Source organism: Homo sapiens, chromosome 22, assembly GCF_000001405.40.
Source record: "Homo sapiens chromosome 22, GRCh38.p14 Primary Assembly".
Taxonomy (NCBI): Eukaryota; Metazoa; Chordata; class Mammalia; order Primates; family Hominidae; genus Homo; species Homo sapiens.
In genome coordinates, this window is record NC_000022.11 from 28,610,256 (window position 1) to 28,634,499 (window position 24,244).

The following is a 24,244-nucleotide window of genomic DNA, read 5'->3' on the forward strand; positions in this document are numbered from 1 at the left end:
CCTCAAGTCCGTCCCTGACTCCCATGTGTCCTGACTGGGAGATACCTCCCAGTAGAGGCCAACAGACACCTCATACAGGAAAGCTCTAGCTGGCATCTGGCGGGTGCCCCTCTGGAAAGAAGCTTCCAGAGGAAGGAACAGGCAGCAATCTTTGCCGTTCTGCAGCTTCTGCTGGTGATACTCAGGCAAACAGGGTCTAAAGTGGACCTCCAGCAAACTCCAACAGACCTGCAGCAGAGGGGCCTGACTGTTAGAAGGAAAACAAACAGAGAGGAATAGCATCAACATCAACAAAAAAGGACGTCCACTTGGAGACACCATCAAAGACCAAAGGTAGATAAATCCATGAAGATGGGGAGAAACCAGCACAAAAAGGCTGAAAATTCCAAAAACCAGAACGCCTCTTCTCCTCCAAAGGATCACAACTCCTCACCAGCAAGGGAACAAAACTGGACAGAGAATGAGTTTGACAAATTGACAGAAGTAGGCTTCAGAAGGTGGGTAATAACAAACTCCTTCAAGCCAAAGGATCATTTTCAAACCCAATGCAAGGAAGCTAAGAACCTTGAAAAAAGGTCAGACAAATTGCCAACTAGAATAACCAGCTTAGAGAAGAACATAAATGACCTGATGAAGCAGAAAAACACAGCATGAGAACTTCATGAAGCATACACAAGTATCAATAGCTGAATCGATCAAGCGGAAGAAAAAATATCAGAGATGGAAGATCAACTTAATGAAATAAAGTGAGAAGACAAGATTAGAGAAAAAAGAAGGAAAAGGAACGAACAAAGCCTCCAAGAAATATGGGACTATGTGAAAAGACCAAATCTATGTTTGATTGTTGTACCTGAAAGTGATGAGGAAAATGGAACCAAGTTGGAAAACACTCTTCAGGATATTATCCAAGAGAACTTCCCCAACCCAGACCAACATTCAAATTCAGGAAATACAGAGAACACCACTAAGACACTGCTCGAGAAGAGCAACCCCAAGACACATAATCGTCAGATTTACCAAGGTTGAAATGAAGGAAAAAATGTTAAGGGCAGCCAGAGAGAAAGGTCAGGTTACCCACAATGGGAAGCCCATCAGACTAACGGCAGATCTCTCTGCAGAAACCCTACAAGCCAGAACAGAGTGGGGGCCAATATTCAACATTCTTAAAGAAAAGAATTTTCAACCCATAATTTCATATCCAGCCAAACTAAGCTTCATAGGTGAAGGAGAAATAAAAGCCTTTTTTTTAATTTTTTTTTTTTTTTATTATACTCTAAGTTTTAGGGTACATGTGCACATTGTGCAGGTTAGTTACATATGTATACATGTGCCATGCTGGTGCGCTGCACCCACTAACATGTCATCTAGCATTAGGTATATCTCCCAATGCTATCCCTCCCCGCTCCCCCTACCCCACCACAGTCCCCAGAGTGTGATATTCCCCTTCCTGTGTCCATGTGATCTCATTGTTCAATTCCCACCTATGAGTGAGAATATGCGGTGTTTGGTTTTTTGTTCTTGCGATAGTTTACTGAGAATGATGGTTTCCAATTTCATCCATGTCCCTACAAAGGACATGAACTCATCATTTTAGACAAGCAAATGCAAGAGATTTTGTCACCAGCAGGCCTGCCTTACAAGAGCTCCTGAAGGAAGCACTGCATCAACTAACGGGCAAAATAACCAGATAGCATCATAATGACAGGATCAAATTCACACAAGATTAACCTTAAATGTAAATGGGCTAAATGCCCCATTTAAAAGACACAGATTGACAAATGGGATAAAGAGTCAAGACCCATTGGTGTGCTGTATTCAGGAGACCCATCTCACATGCAAAGACGCACATAGGCTCAAAATAAAGGAATGGAGGAATATTTACCAAGCAAATGGAGAGCAAAAAAAAGCAGGGGTTGCAATCCTAGTCTCTGATAAAACAGAGTTTAAACCAACAAAGATCAAGAGAGACAAAGAAGGCCATTACGAAATGGTAAAGGGATCACTGCAACAAGAGAGCTAACTATCCTAAATATATATGTACCCAATACAGGAGCACCCAGATTCATAAAGCAAGTCCTTAGAGACCTACAAAGAGACTTAGACTCCCACACAATAAAAGTGAGAGACTTTAATACCCCACGGTCAATATTAGACAGATCAATGAGACAGAAAATTAACAAGCATATTCAGGACTTGAACTCAGCTCTGGACCAAGCAGACCTAATAGACATCTACAGAACTCTCCACCCAAAATCAACAGAATATACATTCTTCTCAGCACCACATCACACATCACACTTATTCCAAAATTGACCACATAGTTGGAAGTAAAACACTCCTCAGCAAATGCAGAAGAATGGAAATCATAACAAACAGTCTCTCGGCCCATAGTGCAATCAAATTAGAACTCAGGATTAAGAAAGTCACTCAAAACCACACAACTACATGGAAACTGAACAACCTGATCCTGAATACTACTGGGTAAATAACGAAATTAAGGAAGAAATAAAGATGTTCTTTGAAACCAATGAGAACAAAGACACAATGTGCCAGAATCTCTGATACGCATTTAAAGTAGTGTTTAGAGAGAAATTTATAGCACTAAATGCCCATGAGAAAAAGCAAAAAATATCTAAAATTGACACTCTAACGTCACAATTAAAAGAACTAGAGAAGCAAGAGCAAACAAATTCAAAAACTAGCAGAAGACAAGAAATAACTAAGATCAGAGCAGAACTGAAGGAGATAGAGACATGAAAAACCCTTCAAAAAATCAATGAATCCAGAAGCTGGTTTTTTGATAAGATCAACAAAAATAGATAGACCGCTAGCCAGACTAATGAAGAAGAAAAGAGAGAAGAATCAAAAAAACACAATAAAAATTGATAAAGGGGATATCATCACTGATCCCACACCTCTATGCAAATAAACTAAAAAATCTAGAAGAAATGGATAAATTCCTGGACACATACACCCTCCCAAGACTAAACCAAGAAGAAGTTGAATCCCTGAATAGACCAATAACAAGTTCTGAAATTAAGGCAGTAATTAATAGCCTACCAACCAAAAAAAGTCCAGGACCAGATGGATTCACAGCCAAATTCTACTACAGTTACAAAGAGGAGCTGGTACCATTCCTTCTGAAACTATTCCAAACAATAGAAAAAGAGGGAATCCTCCCTACCTCATTTAATGAAGCCAGCATCATCCTGATACCAAAAATGGGCAGAGACACAACAAAAAAAGAGAATTTTAGACCAATATCCCTGATGAGCATCGATGCAAAAATCCTCAATAAAATACTGGCAAACCAAATCCAGCAGCACATCACAAAGCTTATCCACCATGATCAAGTGGGCTTCATCCCTGGGATGCAAGGCTGGTTCAACATACGCAAATAAATAAATCCATCATATAAACAGAATCAAAGACAAAAACCACATGATTATCTCAATAGATGCAGGAAAGGCCTTCAACAAAATTCAACACTCCTTCATGATAAAAACTCTCAATAAACTAGGTATTGATGGAACATATCTCAAAATAATAAGAACTATTTATGATAACCCACAGCCAATGTCATACTGAATGGGCAAAAACTGGAAGCATTCCCTTTGAAAACCGGCACAAGACAAGGATGCCCTTTCTCACCACTCCTATTCAACACAGTATTGGAAGTTCTGGCCAGAGAAATCAGGCAAGAGAAAGAAATAAAGAGCATTCAAATAGGAAAAGAGGAAGTCAAATTGTCTCTGTTTCCAGATGACATGATTGTATATTTAGAAAACCCCATCATCTTAGCCCATAATCTCCTTAAGCTGATAAGCAACTTCAGCAAAGTCTCAGGATACAAAATCAATGTGCAAAAATCACAAGCATTCCTATACACCAATAACAGACAAACAGAGAGCCAAATCATGTGTGAACTCCCACTCACGACTGCTGCAAAGAGAATGAAATATCTAGGAATACAACTTATAAGGGATGTGAAGGACCTCTTCAAGGAGAACTACAAAACACTGCTCAAGGAAATAACAGAAGACACAAATAAATGGAAAAACATTCCATGCTCATGGATAGGAAGAATCAATATTGTGAAAATGGCCCTACTGCCCAAAGTAATTTATAGATTCAATGCTATCCCCATCAAGCTACCATTAACTTTCTTCACAGAATTAGAAAAAACTACTTTAAATTTCATATGGAACCAAAAAGAGCCCACATAGCCAAGACAATCCTAAGCAAAAAGAACAAACCTGGCGGCATCACACTACCTGACTTCAAACTATACTACAAGGCTACAGTAACCAAAACAGCATGGTACTGGTACCAAAACAGATATATAGATCAACAGAACAGAACAGAGGCCTCAGAAATAATGCCACACATCTACAGCCATCTGATCTTTGACAAACCTGACAGCAACAAGCAATGGGGGAAGGATTCCCTATTTAATAAATGGTGCTGGGAAAACTGGCTAGCCATATGCAAAAAACCGAAACTGGACCCCTTCCTTACACCTTATACAAAAATTAACTCAAGATGGATTAAAGACTTAAACCTAAGACCTAAAACCATAAAAACCCTAGAAGAAAACCTAGGCAACAGCATTTAAGACATAGGCTTCGGCAAAGACTTCATGATTTAAACACCAAAAGCAACGGCAACAAAAGCCAAAATTGACAAATAGGATCTAATTAAACTAAAGAGCTTCTGCACAGCAAAAAGAAACTATCATCAGAGTGAACAGGAAACCTACAGAATGGGAGAAAATTTTTGCAATCTATCCATCTGACAAAGGGCTAATAATATCCAGAATCTGCAAAGAACTTAAACAAATTTACAAGAAAAAAAACAAAAAACCCCATCAAAAAGTGGACAAAGGATATGAACAGACGCTTCTCAAAAGAAGACATTTATGCAGCCAACAGTTACATGAAAAAATGCTCATCATCACTGGCCATCAGAGAAATGCAAATCAAAACCACAATGAGATACCATCTCACACAAGTTAGAATGGTGATCATTAAAAAGTCAGGAAACAACAGATGCTGGAGAGGATGTGGAGAAATAGGAACACTTTTACACTGTTGGTGGGCTGTAAACTAGTTCAACCATTTTGGAAGACAGTGTGGCAATTTCTCAAGTATCTAGAACTAGAAATACCGTTTGACCCAGCCATCCCATTACTGGGTATATACCCAAAGGATTATAAATCATGCTGCTATAAAGACACATGCACACGTATGTTTATTGCAGCACTATTCACAATAGCAAAGACTTGGAAGCAACCCAAATGCCCATCAATGATAGACTGGATAAAACGTGGCACATATACACCATGGAATACTACACAGCCATAAAAAAGGATGAGTTCGTGTCCTTTGCAGGGACATGGATGAAGCTGGAAACCATCATTCTCAGCAAACTAACACAAGGACAGAAAACCAAAGACCACATGTTTGCACTCATAAGTGGGTGTTCAACAATGGAACACATGGTCACAGGGAGGGAAACATCACACATCGGGGCCTGTAGGGGGGTGGGGGGCTAGGGGAAGGATAGCATTAGGAGAAATACCTTATCTTGATGACAAGTTGATTGGGTGCAGCAAACCACCATGGGATGTGTATACCTATGTAACAAACCTGCACATTCTGCACATGTACCCCAGAGCTTAAAGTGTAATTTTAAAAAATTCACTAGAGGGACTCAAAAGCAGACTTGAATTAGAGAAAAAAATCAGTAAATTGCAATCTCAGACTCTGGTTTATATTATAGGAAACTAAAATTGAATAGTCTCTGCAACATCATTTGGACATATCGGTGTTAGAACTTGAAAGAGAATTCTGGATTCTTGAGTTCTTAAACAATGGACTCCTTTGTCCAGGGAAGTAGTATGGTATAGTAATTAACGACAAAGTCTTCAGAATCACATCAACCTGGGTTTAAGTCCAAATCTTCCAGTTACTAACTAGATGTCCTAGACAAGTATACAATCTCCCACTAAGTATAAATGTTCTCTTTTATAAAGTAGTGATAAAAATGATATCTACCTCACAAGATTATTGTGAGTATAAAATTGGTATTGCAAATAGAAGGATTTGAACTAGCTTGTCATAATAAGCATTCAATAAGAGCTATTATATTTTATTACTATTATAATACTAGGTAAACCAAAGGGAAACATGAGGTCAAGATATGTTTAAACATTTTTTCTTAGTGTGACACTGTCATCAGATATAATACTTGACAGATAAAGTATAATATTCTGTATTCAGGTATTATACCTGATGATAGAATTCTGTCATCACAGACAGACACAGTGGTTCATGCCTGTAATCCAAGCACTTTGGGAGGCCAAGGCAAGTGGACTGCTTAAGCTCAAGAGTTTGAGACCAGCTTGGGCAACACAGTGAAACCCCGTCTCTACAAAAATACAAAAATTAGTCGTAGTGGCATGCGCCTGCAGTCCCAACTACTTGGGAGTCTGAGGCAGAAGGATCACTTAAGCCTGGGATGTAGAGGCTGCAGTGGGCTGTGATCATGCCACTGCACTCCAGCATGGGTGACAGAGCAAGACCCTGTCTCAAAAAAAAAAAAAATTCTGTCATCAGGTGTAATCAGTGAACAAGAATACAAGAAAAGCTTTAAATCCATGCAGAAAGAGGAGGTATTTTATCATGTACTTTAAAATTAATAGGAGAGTCCCACTATGAAATCCTCCTTTATGTAGTGTTATACCATATGAAAATTCACCATTCCTTTGGGTTCTTTTCCACTGACCCTTGAAGATATCCTTGAAGAACATAACCATTTCTGTAACTCATTATTCACACTAAAGTAATAATAACTACTTTGCAACTGACTTATCTGAAAAGAGGGGATTCAAGAAAATTCCAAAACAGAAAGATAAAGGATAAAAAGGTAAATTAAAGTAGATATAATTAAAAAGGGATATGAGACAGGTCTTGGTGGCTCACGCCTGTAATCCCAGCACTTTGGGAGGCCAAGGCAGGAGGATCACTTGAGCCCCAGTGTTCAAGACCATGGGTAACACAGGGAGAACTTTTTTTGAAAAAAAAAAAAAAATTAAGTTAGCCAGGTGTGGTCCTGTGTGCTAACAATTAGCACACACTGTAGTCCCAGCTACTGTGGAGAATCCTTTGAGCCTGGGAGTTTCAGGCTGCAGTGACCACTGCACTCCAGCCTGGCTGACAGAGTGAGACCCTATCTCAAGAAAAGAAATAAAGGGGGCATATGATATGGTCTACGAATGAAGGTACATGAATATGTACCTTAATATGCATATGAACTGACAAAGAATACTGAGGTGAATTATAAGAACAGTCACAAATTCTTCCTCTTCTGCTTTGGGCTTGGCCATATGAATTGCTTTGGCCAATGGGAGAATAACAAATGCAGTACAAACAGACTTTAATAGAGCTATACAATTGTGTTTGCATTCTCTTACGGTTCTTGGAATTTGACAACTGCCATGCAAAGAACCCCAGCAAAATCTGCTGGATGATGACAGACACATGGCCCAGTTGCCATTGTTCTCCTGGCCAAAAGCACACCAACTGCCAGAAATATGAGACTGTCCTAGATATTCTAATCACCAGCCAAACTTCTAGTTTACCTGAAACACATGAGAAAGACCAGCAGAGATCAGTTGAGTCGGCCCAGTCCAGAAGAGTCACTCAGCTGACCTACAAAATAAATGGCTGTTGTTGGCCGGGCATGGTGGCTCACGCCTGCAATCCCAGCACTTTGGGGGGCCGAGGCAGGTGGATCATCTGAGGTCAGAAGTTCGAGACCAGCCTGGCCAACATGATGAAACTCCATTTCTACTAAAAATACAAAAAAATTAGCCAGGCGTGGTGGTGGGTGCCTGTAATCCTAGATACTTGGGAAGCTGAGGCAGGAGAATTGCTTGAACCCAGAAGACAGAGGTTGCAGTGAGCCAAGATTGCACCACTGCACTCCAGCCTGGGCAACAAGAGCAAAAACTCCATCTCAATCAATCAATCAATCAATCAATGGTTGTTATTTTAAGCCACTAAGTTTTGGAGTGATTTTTTATAGAGCAAAAGTTAGTGGACACAAGTGCAAACCAAAAATACATCTAAATGAAAAAACCAGGCCGGGTGCAGTGGCTCACGCCTGTAATCCAAGCACTTTGGGAGGCTGAGGCAGGTGGATCACCTGAGGTTAGGAGCTTGAAACCAGCCTGGCCAACATAGTGAAACCCTGTCTTTACTAAAAATATAAAAATTAGCCGGGCGTGGTAGCGCATGCCTGTAATCCCAGCTACTGGGGAGGCTGAGGCAGGAGAATCGTTTGAACCTGGGAAGCACAGGTTGCAGTGAGCTGAGATCGTGCCACTGCATTCCAGCCTGGGTGACAGAGCAAGACTCTGTCTCCAAAAAAAAAAAAAAAAAACATAGCAAAGAGGTAGGATATCGAAACAATGAAAAAGCTCAAAATGCCAAATTAACAAGAAAAAAAATCAACTAAATACCATTACCAGAGAAGACAGCAGCAAAATAAACAGTGCTTGCTTATAGTAAATGCCCAATCGATGTTTTTGAATTGAAATAAAGAAAATATATCACACATATTAAACAGTGAGCTACACTTATAGGATCCTATATTAATAGGATCTGATAAACTATTCACAAGCATATATATTCTATATATGTGGTGAAAAATAATTCTTCCTTTTCCCTCTGCAACAGAAATACCTGAACAGAATGCTTTATCCATTTTGGAATCAACACATTAAAAAACTTATAAAGCTAATCAATAGGAATTTTAAGGATTCAGAAGATTACTGAGATTATTATAAAGGAAAGAAAAATGCTCAAAAAAGAACTGGATAGTTTTACTAAAAAGCATGTATATATAAATACAGAGTGATTATTACCATCATGATGATCATCACATTAATAACCATGATGTATTAAATAACTTGTATATAAAAAACTCTGTGCTACGTGCCTAACATTTTATTTAATCCTCACTACAACACTTCAAGATATGTAATGTTAACCCAGATACAAATGGAAAAATGGAAGCTTAGGGAGGTATAGCAACCTGTCAAAGACTTCAGCTAATAAGGAGGAACAAACCTAGATTGAATTCCAAAGTACTAGCAGACTTCACTTCACATGCGTATTATGCCAATATACATGAATTTCAGTTATCACAATTAAATAACACCAGTCCCCTAACAACACAATTCAAATTTCAGTTACCACTGTACATCAATTGACATAAATGAGGAGGAAGAAAAAAGGAAAAGGAGAGCATGTTTGTCAGCAGAATAGTAAGAAATACAAAGTGTCTTCAAAAAGCTCATGGAAAATGTGTATTATGCAAAAATTATGCATAGATTTCAAAAAATTTCTGCATCAAAATGAACTCAAACTAACTTGTTGTAACATGTCTGAACAGGGTCTAGTTTGAGGCACTACGAAGAATAAAACATAAGTTTAGAAACAGTCCCTATCAGAGCAACATAAATTCTGCTAAAATCAAAGCAAAGCAAAACAAACATCGAATTTATAGTAAAGCCAGGGTGGAAAAATGGTAAAATAATAGATGCTTTACAAAGAAATTATGGGGACCATGCGCAAAGAAATCAACAGTTTACAAATAGATAACTTATTTTAAGAAGAGACAAGACCACATTGAAGATAAAGTCCACAGCAGCAGATCATCTGCATCAATTTACAATGAAAAAAACCATCTTATTCCTGCTCTAATTGAAGAGGATCAACAACTAGCAGGAGAAACAATAGCCAACATCGGCCGGGCACAGTGGCTCACGCCTGTAATCCCAGCACTCTGGGAGGTCGAGGCAGGTGGATCACGAGGTCAGGAGTTCGAGACCAGCCTGACCAACATGGTGAAACCCTGTCTCTACTAAAAATATAAAAATTAGCTGGGTATGGTGGTGCACACCTGTAATCCCAGCTACTCAGGAGGCTGGGGCAGGAGAACTGTTTGAACCAGAGAGGCAGAGGTGGCAGTGAGCTGAGTCTCTGCCACCACACGCCAGCCTGAGCAACAGAGCAAATCTCTGTCTCAAAAAAAAAAAAAGAAAGAAAGAAACAATAGCCAACATCATAGACAGCTCAACTGGTTCAGCTTACATAATTCTGACTGAAAAATTAAAGTTGAGCAAACTTTGCACTCGGCAGTGCCAAAACTGTTGTACCAGATCAGCTACAGACAAAAGCAGAGCTTTCAATGGAAATTTTAAACAAGTGGGATAGAGATCCTAACACAGTTCTTTGAAGAATTGTAACCAGAGATGAAACATGGCTTTACCAGTGTGATCCTGAAGACAAAGCACAACCAAAGCAATGGCTACCAAAATGTAGAAGTGGTCCAGTCAAAGCAAAAGCAGACCAGTGAAGAGCAAAGGTCATGGCAACAGTTCTTAAGGGTGCTCAGGGCGTTGTGCCTGCTGACTTTCTACCGGGCCAAAGAACAATAACATCTGCTTATCATGAGAGTGTTTTGAGAAAGTTAGCCAAAGATGTCGCAGAAAAATGCCTGGGAAAGCTTCACAGAGTCCTCCACCATGACAATGTTCCTGCTCATTCCTCTCCTCAAAAGAGGGAAATTTCTCAAGAGTTTCAGTTGGAAATTAGGCATTTACCTTAAAGTCCTGATTTGGCTCCTTCTGGCTGCTTTTTGTTTCTTAATCTTAAAAACATATTTAAAGAGAACCCATTTTTCTTTAGTTGATAATGTAAAAAAGACTGTTTCGACATGGTTACATTCCAGAATGCTCAGTTCTACAAGGATAGACTAAATGGCTGGTATCACTGCTTACAAAAGTGTCTTCAACATTATTGAGCTTATGTTGAGAAATAAAGTTTGTACCTTTTGTGTTTATTTTTTAATTCCAATTTTCCACAAACTTTTTGAAGACTCCTCCTAAAGGAAGAAATGTGACCACTGGAGCAGAATCTTGACTATCAATCCAACTGACAACACTGAGCAACAAAAGATTTTGAACAAGAACAATGTTACAATAAAAGGTTATCACAACAAAGTAAGAATGAAACTATAAGAACCTGAACTATAATACTGGCTCTGTTAGGTTGGTGCTAATAGAAACAAACTGTGTAAGATATATATGAAATACATTTAAGAAAAAAGGCTGGGCCTCATGGCTCATGACTATAATCCCAGCACTTCAGGAGGCCAAGGCAGAAGAATCATCTGAGTCCAGGAGTTTGAGACCAGCCTGGGCAACACAGCAAGACCCTACCACTAAAAAAAAATAATAATAATAAAAAAAATAAAAAGTTTAAAAAAAATAGCTAGGTATGATGGCACATGCCTGTAGTCCCAGCTACTCAGGAGGCTGAGGCAGGGGGATCACCTGAGCCCAGGAGTTCAAAACTGTAGTGAGCCATGATGGCACTGCTGCACTCCAGCCTGGGTGACAGAGCAAGACTGTCTCTTAAAAAAAAAAAAAAAAAAAAGAAAGAAAGAAAGAAAAGAAAAGAAAAAGAGTATGAAGGAATTATTTACCAATTTGATGCAGAGAATGAAAATGAAATAAGATAAATATCTTAAATGTATGAGACTAGCTAACTGGAAGAAATGAACCTAGTGGGAGAACTCAAAACATCAAGAGAATCATTAAATCACTGAAAATATATCACTTTTACTTCCAGTAGAGACTGGCTAGGGGAGATCCTGCTGGACTCACCCCAACCCAGAAAACAACTGTAAAGTCTAGACATAATATTTTAAAAAGCTACCTGAAAGTACTAACGAGTGAAGAGAAGCAGGCAGATTTTGGAGGAAGAAAGCTGTAAAGTGAGTCCCCATTTTCAAGGTGCAAGGGTCAGGTACTGTAAGAATGGTAAGCAAGGGTACAGAAATACTGGTAGAAAAATAGTTTTTCTGGCCTGAGGAACTAGAACACTGAAGGTCAGAAAACCACAGCCTTTGGCCAAGGGGGAAGGGGATTCCAGAAAGAAAAGAATCAGAAAAGAAAGACCCAAATTCTGTCTACTCACATCTTTGGCTAACCACTGAGTCACACATGTACGGAACAAATTTCAAAGCAGTTCAACAAAACACAAAATATTTGAACTGAGACCAGAGCTTCCACTTAAGAAACAGAGTTTGCAGTTCTAGTCTAACCAAGATAATTACCTGTCAAATATCAACAATTGAAAACTTTCTCAAAAGAAAAAAAAAATCAACTCTAGAAAGTATTCAAATAAACCAATAAATAGCATGAAAAGAATATCAGAGGGACAAAAACAGAAAGGACAAATTAAAAAGGAATAATACAATGGTAGACGCAAAGTTAAAAGCAATAATTGCATTAAAAATAAATGAAGAAAAAAGTCCAATTTTGGCAGAAATTGACAAGCTTGATTTAAAAAGCAAGACACAACTATATGTTGTCCAAAAGAGATGAATGTTAAATGTAAAGGCACAGACAAGTTGAAAATATATAAACAGAAGAAAATATATAATGCAAAGAGTAAGTAGAAGGCTGGAATGTCTATATTAATATCAGACAAAATAGATTTTTTTTTTTTGAGACAGAGTCTTGCTCTGTCTCCCAGGCTGGAGTGCAATGGCACAATCTCGGCTCACTGCAACTTCTGCCTCCCGGGTTCAAGCGATTCTCCTGCCTCAGCCTCCCTAGTAGCTGAGATTACAGGCGCCTGCCACCACACCGAGCTAATTTTTGTATTTTTTAGTAGAGATGGGGTTTTGCCATGTTGGCCAGGCTGGTCTCGAACTCCTAACCTCAGGTGATCCACCCACCTCGGCCTCCCAAAGTGCTGGGATTACAGGTGTGAGCCACCATGCCCGGCCCAAAATAGATATTTTTTAAGAGACATGATCTCACTATGTTGCCCAGGCTAGACTCCTCAGCTCAAAGAATCCTCCTGCCTCAGCCTTCCAAGGAGCTGGGACTACAGGCATGCACCACCACACCCAGGTCAGACAAAATAGTTTATAATACAAAATTTACTATCACAGATAAAGAGATACATTGCATAACGGTAAAAGGATCAATTTATCAAGAAGATATAATAATGTTATGTGTATATGTTAATAATAGAGCTTCAATATATATGAAGCAAAACTTGACAATATTAAAGGGATAAATAGCCAATTCCAAAATCTTAGTTCAAGATTTTAACTTCTTCATTCCAGCAATGAAGACAAATAGAATAACAAGACAAAAAAAGTCAGCAAAGACACAGAAGATATGAGCAACAAGATTAAGCATCTGGACTTCATTGATATCTATGGAACTACACCTCAAAAATACAGAATACATGTTCTTTCCAAGTGTTCATGGTATATTTCCCAGGATAAACCACATGCAAGGCCATAAAACAAACCTCAGAAAATTTAAAAGCATTAATATTATAAAGAGTATGTTATTTGACTACAGTGAAAGTAAATTAGAAATCAACAATAAGATAACTAAGAAAACACAAATATTTGGAAATTAAACAACAAACTTCTAAATAATCCATGGATCAATAATGTGTTTACAAGGAAAATTGGAAAATATGGAACTGAATAATAATTAAAATACATGTCAAAATTTGTAAGATGCAGCAAAAACAGTGCTTAAAGAGAAATATTCAGCTATAAATGCTCATATTTTAAAAAAAAAGAAAGATCTAAAGTCAATGGCCTATGTTCTCTTCTTAAGAAATGAAAACAAAGAGCAAAGTAAATGCAAAAAAAAGTAGAAAAAAGGAAATAATAAACAGCAGACATCAGTGAAAGATAAAATGCACTACAATATAGAAAATCAATGAGACTAATAACTCATTGTCTAGAAAGATGAATAGAATTGATAAATCTCTAGGTAGACTGACCAGAAAAGGGCAGATTAACAATATCAAGAATGCATGCTGGCTAACACGGTGAAACCCTGTCTCTACTAAAAATACAAAAAATTAGCCAGGCGTGGTGGCAGGTGCCTGTAGCCCCAGCTACTCAGGAGGCTGAGGCAGGAGAATGGCGTGAACCCGGGAGGCAGAGCTTGCAGTGAGCTGACATCACACCACTGCACTCCAGACTGGGCAACAGAGCAAGACTCTGTCTCAAAAAAAAAAAATCAAGAATGATAAAACGAACATCACTATGGATTCTTCAGATATTAAAAAGGATAATAAAGGAATATTAACAACTTTATCCCAATAAAGTTGACAACCTAGATTAAATGAAAAGGTACTTGAAAGAAACAATTACCAAAACTGATCTAAAAAGAATTAGAAAATTTGAATAGCCCTACATCAATCAAAGAAATTGAATTCATAATTAAAACCTTCCAACAAAGAAAAGTACAGATAAAGATAAATATGGCTTGACTGGTGAATTCTATCCAATACTTAAGGAAGAAATAATGCCAATCCTACACAAACTCTTTCAGAAAATACAGACAGAATACTTTACAACTCATTACATAAGGACAGAATCACTTCGATACCAAAACGAAACAAATACATCATGAGAAAAAAAAAGGCTACAGATCAGTATCTCTCTTAAACATAGATGCAAAAATTCTTCACGAAATTTTAGCAAAGCATTTCCAACAATAAACAAAAAGAATAATACATAATGACTACCTGGAATTTACCCCCATTAAAACCAAAGTTGATTTAGTTGATTTAATATCCCCAAATAAATCAATTTAATTTACCATATTAACAGCTAGCTAAAAAAATTATAATTTCAATAGATGAAGAAAAAATAGACAAAATTTGACACCCACTCATAATAGAAATTAAAGGGAATATCCTCCACCTGATTAAGGACATCATGCTCAACAATGTGAAGCTCAATGCTTTCCCACAAAGATCAGGAATGAGTAAAGGAAGTTCACTCCCATGACTTCTAGTCAACATTGTACCGGATATGCTAACCAGCGCAATAGAGCAAAAAGTGAAGAAAAAGAAAAAGAAAGAAAAGGCATACACAAAAGAAAGGAAGAAGCAGAATTGTGATTACCTGCAGACATTACCATGTGCATAGAAAATCCCAAGGAATCTGCAAAAATCCTACTAGAAATTAAAAGCAAATTTAACAGGGTCACATGACACAAAGTACAGAAAATACATTGTATTTCTATAGATTCTCAATAGAAAGTTAGAAGATAAAGTTATTCCATTTATAATAGTATCAAAAGCCAAAATACTTAGAAACAAATTTAACAAAAGACATGCAAGATCTGAACACTGAAAACTACAAAAAGTTGCAAAGGTAATAAAAGAAGGCCTAAGTAAATGGAGGAATACACCATGTTCATGGATTCAAAGACTCAATAACATTAAGATGGCATTTCTCTCCAAACTGGTCTAATTCAGTGTAAGCCCATTAATTTCCAGAAAGGTTTTTTGAAGAAATTGATAAGCTGATTCTACAACTTATATAAAAATGCAAAAATATAGAATAGCCAAAACAACTTAGAAAAAAGAAAGAACAAGGTTGGAAGACTTACAATACCTAATAATCAGACTTACCATACATCTATAGTAATTAAGGCATTATGGTTAAGGCATTGAGATATATACACAGAAATCAGTGAAATAGAGAATCTAGTAATAACTCCATACTTATATGGTCAAATGGTTTGTGACAAAGGTGCCAGGATAATTCAATGTGGAAAGGATAATCTTTAAAACAAATGTTGCTGGATTATGGTTATCATTATCTGGAAAAAAATTAACTTTGACTCTTATCTCACACAATACTAAAAATTAACTCAAAATAAATCATAGGCCTAAAGGCAAAAAACATAAAAATTCTAGAAGAAAATCTTTGTAACCTTGGCGAAGACAAAGGTTTCTTAAATAGGACATAAAAAGAAGAAACATAAAGATAAATCAAAGAAAAAACATCTAGCATGCAGCTGGAGATAAGGTACCTGCAGACTGAACTCATTGCTTTTGTGGGTTCCCATAGTGCTTTGTTCATACCTCTTTTACAGCCCATATCACATCAAAATCATTTTCTCATTTAGATAAAACAGACATGTATAAAAAATTCTCCATCTAGTCTCTGGAGCCTTTAGATCCTTACATAAAAAATTAATACTTATGGAGAGAGACAGAAATTGGAAGGTAGCTTTTCACACATCAGACTAGACAAAAATATTTCAGATAAAGACTTTAGAAAAGCAAAGCATTATAATAAAAAGCCAGAGTAGAAAAGCAAAAATTAAAAGAAAAAGGAATTGACAAAATTTCACCAGATATACATTTATAACAAGAAAATGTAAGTGAATCTTCTTTTACCTAATGAGTATATGCCTAGAAAAATAAGTATAAAATCAAGATTTTATAAAAGGAAACATTCTTTTGCAGTACTGAACATTTCTTTATAAATTAATTTTATTATCATACTACCTCAAAAGAACCTTTTGTGATTTCAATTTTGAACTCTATATTTTATATACTTTAAATGTTCCTAAATTAGGTTTGCTTAAAGCCAAATATAGAACTAAAATATTAATGTAAAATGGACTATACAATAACTTCACTTACTGTGAAGAGAAAAAATCAGAAACCAATAATATAAATTATCCTAAAAGGGTGATTATTTTTTGTCTATAATAATAAAAGTACACTTTTTAAAAGCCATTTTTGGGGTGTAGAAGTCACAAGAAGTGCCAGGAGAAGTAGAAATGATAAAGAAAAATGAAAAAGATAAAAGTTTAAAGGCGTTCACAAATATAGGAAAAACACAAGTGGATCAAAAAAGGACAAGAATTGATACTTAATTTGAAAATTAAGCTCTCCATATTTATAAGGCTCACTGCATCAATTACAGGTTTAAAGAGAGAGAGAGACAGAGGCAGATATATATGCAAAACCTTGCTAGAATAATCTACTAATTCAAACCTTCAGTAAAAATGTCACAATCATAGCTATTACTTACCAAACATCTACTATGTACAAGTTAAAAATTATCTCCAATCCTTAAGCAACAATCTTCCAAGATAGGTATTATTATTATTCCCATTTATCTTAACTTCAGAGAGGTTAAGAGATTACTCAAAACCATATTGTCATTAATGGAGGAACAGGAATGTGAACCTAGGTTTATGCTTTGAAAATAGCACTCTAGTTCGCAAATGGTATCACATACAATTTTTCTTTTTCTTTTTTTTTTTTTTTTGAGACTCTTCACTCTTGTTGCCCAGGCTGGAGTGCAGTGGTGCGATCTCAGCTCACTGCAACCTCTGCCTCTTGGGTTCAAGCAATTCTCCTGCCTCAACCTCCCGAGTAGCTGGGATTACAGGTGCCTGCCACCACGCCCAGCTAATTTTTGTGTTTTTAGTAGAGACGGGGTTTCACCACGTTGGCCAGGCTGGTCTCAAACTCCTGACCTCAGGTGATCCGCCTACCTCAGCCTCCCAAAGTGCTGGGATTACAGGCGTGAAGCCACCGTGCCCAGCCCATATACAATTTTTCTCAACAATTTTTGTTTCATTTAGAATGATTATGGTTACAAAAGTAATCCTTTAGGGAATTACACAATAGTAAACCATTCACAAGGCAGCAGCAATACTAGAAATTCCATTAAATGAGGCCAAGAAGACCTATCAGAGTCAAAGGATAAAGTACTATGACTTTTATTATTATTATTTGAGACAGGGTCTCATCCTGTTGCCCAGGCCAGAGTGCAGTGATGCAATCATGACTCACTGCAGCCTCTACCTCCTGGGCTCAAGCAATCCTCTCACCTCAGCCTCCCAAGTAGCTGGGGATATAGGTGAGTGCCACCATACCTGGCTAATTTTTGTATTTTTTGTAGAGACTATGTTGCCTAGTCTGGCCTCAAACCTGGGGGCTCAAGGGATCCTCCCACCTCAGCCTCCCAAAGTGCTCAGATTATAGGCATGAGCCACCATGCCCAGCCCTTCAGCATATTATTAATAAGACATTAGGAAACTATTTTAAATCTCTAGGAAATATCCATTAACCTTTGTTAATGGGATGAAATGGTTTTGTGGTTCTATAGAAAATATCTCAAATACTTCAATCACATCTCTTTTTATTGTATGTATTTAAGGTATACAACATGATATTTTTGCTTACTTATATGAAGTGAAGTAATTATTGTAGTCGAATTAATATATTCATCATCTCACATAGTAACCCTTTTTGTGTGTGTTTGTGTCATAAGAGAACCTAAAATCTACTCTTAGCAATTATCCCTAATACAATATTATTAACTATAGTCCTCATGTGGTGCATTAGATCTCTAGAATTATTCATCCTATATATCTGCAACTTTATATCCTTGGATCTACATTCTCCCATTTCGCCCCTCTCCTATCCCCCACCCTCTATGCTTCAGGAGCATCTTAAGAAATTGTTTCTGCTGGGCAAGGTGGCTCACACTTTTATCCCAGCACTTCGGGAGACCGAGGCAGGCAGATTGCTTGAGCTCAGGAGTTCGAGACCAGCCTGGGCAACATGGTGAAACCCTCTTTCTATAAAAAATACAAAAATTAGCCGGGCATGATGGCACATACCTGTAGTCCCAGCTACTCAGGAGGCAGAGGTTGCAGTGAGTCAAGATTGCACCACTGCACTCCAGCCTTGGTGACAGAGTAAGACCTTGTCTCAGAAAGAAAAAAGGAAAAAGGAAAAAAGAAAAGGAAAGGAAAGGAAAAGAAAAGAAAGGAAAGGAAAAGAAAGGAATTGTTTCTAAAAGAAACTAGGGGTTAGGTTAGGAGTATGCACACTGAAAATAAAGTATATATAATAAAAAACAAAGATAGTAACTTAAGGGGACTATTCAAGGGAATACAGATAATTACAATGCTTTATTAGAAAAAACAGAAATTTCCCTGATTAAATACCATTCTGAAAATAAACAGTCATTGACAGAGAATGAAATTAATTATTTTAAATTGAAGGAAAGAAACATCATCATACTTCATCTAAAATATTCATTCAAAAAGAGATGTTCCAAAACCTATATAAAGAACTAGAATGTATCTTACTTATCAAGCGGCACAGATAAAAAAAAATTTAAATCTCACACATACAGGAAAAGAATTAAACTTGCACATGGAAAGCATGCTACAAAAAAACAAAGGAAGCTTTTCGCTAGTGTACCAGCTCAAGGAAGTCATTTTATATTTTGCTGAAGTACAGATTATTAAAATATTAGTAAGTACACTAAATCAACAAAATATTACATTAAAGTAAGAAGCCAGGACAAAAGATTCTATGAAAATAAATCTTCATAGGTAAAAATTTCTACCTTTGGCCACTTGGGATTGAGAAGTCGAGCTTTGATTGCATCATCCAGTGCCTTGTCATACTGCTGGATTTTCATGTAGGCTGCAGATCTATTGCTGTATAAGATGCAGTTCTGAGGGTCAACAGCCAGGGCTTCATTATACAGAACAATAGCTGTGTGGAAATCTCCATCATGACAGGCCTGATTACTCTGACGAACTTTCTCAACAAATTCAGCTTTGCTCAGTACCGGTCCATCAGGACTTCTCTGGCCAATAGTGTCAGCACCAAAGAGAGGAATCTACAAACAAAGAAACTTTATCAGAAAAAGTTCAGATAATCCAGATGGGTTCCCCATCTGCTAAGATTTGGATGTCTGTCCCCTCCAGTTGCACATTAAAATGTGATCCCCAGTATTGGAGGTGGGGCCTAATGGGAGGTGTTTAGGTCATAGGAGTAAATCCCTCATGAACAGATTAATGCCCTCCCCTGGGGGTGAGGGAATTCTTACTCTATTATTTCCAGTGAGAGCCGGTTGTTAAGAGACCTGCCACTAGCCCCTCTCTCTCTCTTGCTTCCTCTCACTTTGTGATCTCTGCATGCACAAGCCAGCTCCCCTTTGCCTTCTGCCATGAGTGGAAGCAGCTTAATGCCCTCACCAGATACAGATGCCTAATCCTGAACTTTCCAATCATCAAAATCATAAGCCAAATAACCCTTTTTTATTTATAGATTACTCAGCCTCAGGTATTTATTTTTTACTCTTATTTTTTTTCAGATGAGGTCTCACTCTGTAACCCAGGCTACAGTGTAGTGGCACAAGTCACTGCACTGTTGAGGTTCACTGCAGCCTCAAGCTCCAGGCACAAGCAATCTTCTTGCCTCAGCCTTTTGAGTAGTTGGAAGCAGAGGCACATGCCACGGCATGCAGCTAATTTTTTTTGGTGTTTTTGTTGTTGTTGTTTTTGTAGAGACAGGATTTCACTATGTTGCCCAGGTTGATTTTGAACTACTAGCCTCAAGAGATCTTTCCACTTCAGCCTCCCAAAATGCTGGGATTACAGGCATCAGTTGCTGCACCTGGCCAAATATTCCTTTATAGCCACACAAAACAGACTAAGACATCATCTGAACCTCAATAAACACAAACATTCTTCATGATCTGCTCTACATTATATTTAACTTTTGTGCCCTGGAAGACAATAATCTTCTCTCAAAGCAGCCAACAAAGGGCCTTGCATGCATATGTGTATATGTATGTTTAATAGTTACATACATGTATATTTGTATTTGTATTTGTTGAATGAATAAATGCAAAAGAGTACTCAGGTTTTTCCTTGGCAATTTAAAGTTATATACTATGGAAAAAATAAAATACAAACATATATGGACACTATAATCTCAACTATGTTAAGACAATTGCACTTAAAATAATGCTGAAAAGCCAGGAACAGTGGCATGCACCTGTAGTCCCAGCTACTCAAGATGCTGAAGCAGGAGGATCACTTTAGCCCAGGAATTTAATACTATAGTGTGCTACAACTGCACCTGTGAATAGCCATTGCACTCCAGTCTGGACAACACAGTGAGACTCCATCTCTAAAAATAAATAAATAAGTAATGAGAGAACAAAATCAAAATATTAATCATACTAAATTACCTCTAGAAAGGTTGTGGAGCATTTTAATTTTCTTAAACTTATGCAAGTTTTAAAATAAAAAATAAGGTTTAAAAAATGTTTTCATGTACCAATGAATCTTTTTGGACTGGCAAATTTGGTGACTATAATTTGGCTACTACCATGAAATTTCAAAGACAAACACCAGTTTTTGAAGACTAGCAAAAACTATTCAGCTGTAACTATATTCTGGCAATTTAAAATCTGTTTTTGATGTTGATTTTTCAAAATTACTAAGTTTTCTATAATTTTATAGCAGCAGTGCAGTGACCTTAAAATCAAAGGAAGCAAACGTGTCAAGTGTTTTTGTTTGTTTGTTTTTGTGGGTTTTTTTGAGACAGGGTCTTGCTCTGTCACCCAGGCTGGAGTGCAGTGGTGTGATCAGAGCTCACTGCAGCCTCAAACCTTCTGGACTCAAGCAGTCTTCCCACCTCAGCCTCCCAAGTTGCTGGAACCTCAGGCATGCACCACCCCGCCTGGCTGATTTTTTTATTATTTTGTAGAGACGAAGTCTCCTCATGTTGCCGAGGCTGGTCTCAAACTCCTGGGTCCAAGCAATACTCCCGCCTTGGCTTCCCAAACTGCTGGGACTACAGATGTGAACCACAGCACCCAGCCTGTTACTCATTTTTAAAACATAAAAATTACGAACTGTAGAGTACAAAGGGAAGAAATTTAACACAGTAGTATCAAGGACAGCCATTTTATACTTCTAAGCAAGCTTGCCCTAAGTGAAATTAAAACAAAAAGTATTTTTTTCCCTATGTCTTCCTTTAAGATCAAGTCCAGTACCTCCATTCAGAAGAGGATGCATCTGATTTGATGCAATAGGCCAACATATACAAAGAAATAGACTCCTCAAAGAAGTATTTTTATTAAAAAAAGAAAAAATTCCCCAAAGAAAGGAAGAAAGGCAGATCTAATCACACATATGAGCGACTGTTCTTCCTCTGTTCACACGGATATTATATCCTGATTTCCAGGACAATTCAAAACATTAAAGGATTCTGTAAGTTTCAAATATCAGTGTCCAAGTTATATTCAACTTTTTTTTTTTTTTTTTTTTTTTTTTTTTTTGAGGAGAAGTTTCACTCTTGTTGCCCAGGCTGGAGTGCAATGGCATGATCTCGACTCATTGCAACCTCTGCAACCTCTGCCTCCCAGGTTCAAGCAATTCTCCTGCCTCAGCCTCCCGAGTAGCTGGGATTACAGGCATGCACCAATATTCAACTTTCACATACTGGAAGTGGCCAACCAATAATGCACTTAAAGGTTTTTTAAAAAATTATGATCATGAAACATATTGCTTGAAAGTAAATGGACTATGTAACATTTACCAAACAACCAGAATTTTCAGTCCTTGTTTTTAATTATTACAATATGTAAGACTGATTTCATTTTGGAAAATATGATCATCATGGTTCTGCTTAAGGTCAATAATACCATAAGTTATAGAAACAAATTCTGTATCTGAAAATTCAGGGGCATGACATAAAAATAGCAAGTAAAGACTTTTAAAGTAAGATAAACTGTTAGATTCATAAGTAGCCTGTAAGTTATTAAAAAAAAAAAAAGGAGAAGAAGAAGAATCCTACTATTACAGTATTCCCTACTTCTCATAAAGAATTGCAGAGTAGGCTGGGCTCAGTGGTTCATCCCTGTAATCCCAGCATACTGGGAGACTAAGATGGGTAGACTGCTTGAGCCCAGGAGTTTGAGACCAGCCTGGCAACATAGCAAGACCCTGTCTCTATTTTAGAAAAAAAAAAAATTATTTAAAAAATTTGCAAGGTAGGGCACCGTGGCTCACACCTGTAATCCCAGCACTTTGGGAGGCCGAGGTGGGCGGATCACCTGAGGTCAGGAATTTGAGATCAGGCTGGCCAACATGATGAAACCTCATCTCTACTAAATATACAAAAATTAGCCAGGCATGGTGGCGGGTGCCTATAATCCCAGCTACTCAGGAGGCTGAGGTAGGAGAATTGCTTGAATCCAGGAGGCAGAGGTTGCAGTGAGCCAAAATTGCACCATTGCACTCCAGTCTGGGCAACAAGAACAAGACTCTGTCTCAAAAAAAAAAAAGAAAAAGAAAAAGAAAAAGAAAAAAAATTTTTTTTTCAAAAAGAATTGCAGAGTAAGCCAGGTACAATAGCTCATGCCTGTAATCCCACACTTTGGGAGGCAAAGGTGGGTGGACTGTTTGAGCCCGGGAGTTCAAGACCAGCCTGGGCAACAAAGCAAGACCCTGTCTCTACAAAAAAGACAAAAAATAGCTGAGTGGGTGACACGCACCTGTATTCCCAGCTACTTGGGAGACTGAAGAGGGAGGACCGCTTGAGCCTAGGGGGTCAGGGCTGCAGTGAGCTGTGATCATGCCACTTGCACTTCAGCCTGGACAACAAGCAAGACCCTGTCTCAGAAAGAAAATAATGGCAGAGTAATAATTTTGGTTCAATGCCAACACAGATAAGAATCAAATTAAGAAGAGAAATCATCTTCATTCTATTACCTCCATGTACAGTAATATAAAGTAACATTTCCCAAAATATATTCTAAGGAAAACTTAGGTCCTCAGGAGACAAGGATGAACAACGTTAAATAAATCTCTTCTTTAGTGAAATATCTCTCACAGATCTTATTTTGCACACTGTGAATCTGAGAGGGGGAAATACCATACATTATAAGATCAAATCACCTTTATAGTGAAGGATCTGGCAAGTCCAGAAATTGCTCGAAACACTGATGTAAACCATTACTAAGGCCTCTAAGAGCAAAGAAAATACCATGGATGAGTCAGTACTAGTGCAGAAAGATTCTAAATACTAGAGGAGAACTCTAGTATTTAGAATTAGTAGTAGTTAACCAAATGTTCACAAAACACCATCAAATGTTCACAAATTTAAAAGAAAAATGCGCTGTAGTAAGTGCTCCACAGAAGCTTCTAATTTGTCAAAATATATCTGTGTCTACTCAGCTGGATACTGTGTGGTTGTTAGAAAGCTAAGAAACAGAAATTTCTGGCCGGGAGTGGTGGCTCACGCCTGTAATCCCAGCACACTGGGAGGCCGAGGCAGGCAGATCACGAGGTCAAGAGATTGAGACCATTCTGGCCAACATGATAAAACCCCGTCTCTATTAAAAATACTAAAATTAGCTGGCCGTGGTGGCACGAGCCTGTAGTCTCAGCTACTCAGGAGGCTGAGGCAGGAGAATTGCTTGAACCTGGGAATCGGAGGTTGCAGCGAAAGATCGCCCCACTGCACTCCAGCCTGGCGACTAAGCGAGACTC

The 24,244-nt window shown here is 37.8% G+C and overlaps 1 protein-coding gene across 9 annotated transcripts in view; it reads right to left on the reverse strand.

Annotated features, from left to right (window-relative positions):
• TTC28 (tetratricopeptide repeat domain 28) overlaps positions 1-24,244 on the reverse strand; it is a 701,827-nt gene that overhangs the window by 632,242 nt on the left and 45,341 nt on the right. For 8 of the 9 annotated variants that reach the window (NM_001393403.1, NM_001145418.2, XM_047441214.1 and 5 more), the window contains exon 2: positions 19,297-19,575. In NM_001393403.1, the coding sequence (NP_001380332.1) occupies positions 19,297-19,575 (279 nt within the window). Of the gene's footprint in view, positions 1-19,296; positions 19,576-23,650; positions 23,955-24,244 lie in introns of those variants that run through there. The other variant, XM_047441215.1, reaches the window with a different exon arrangement.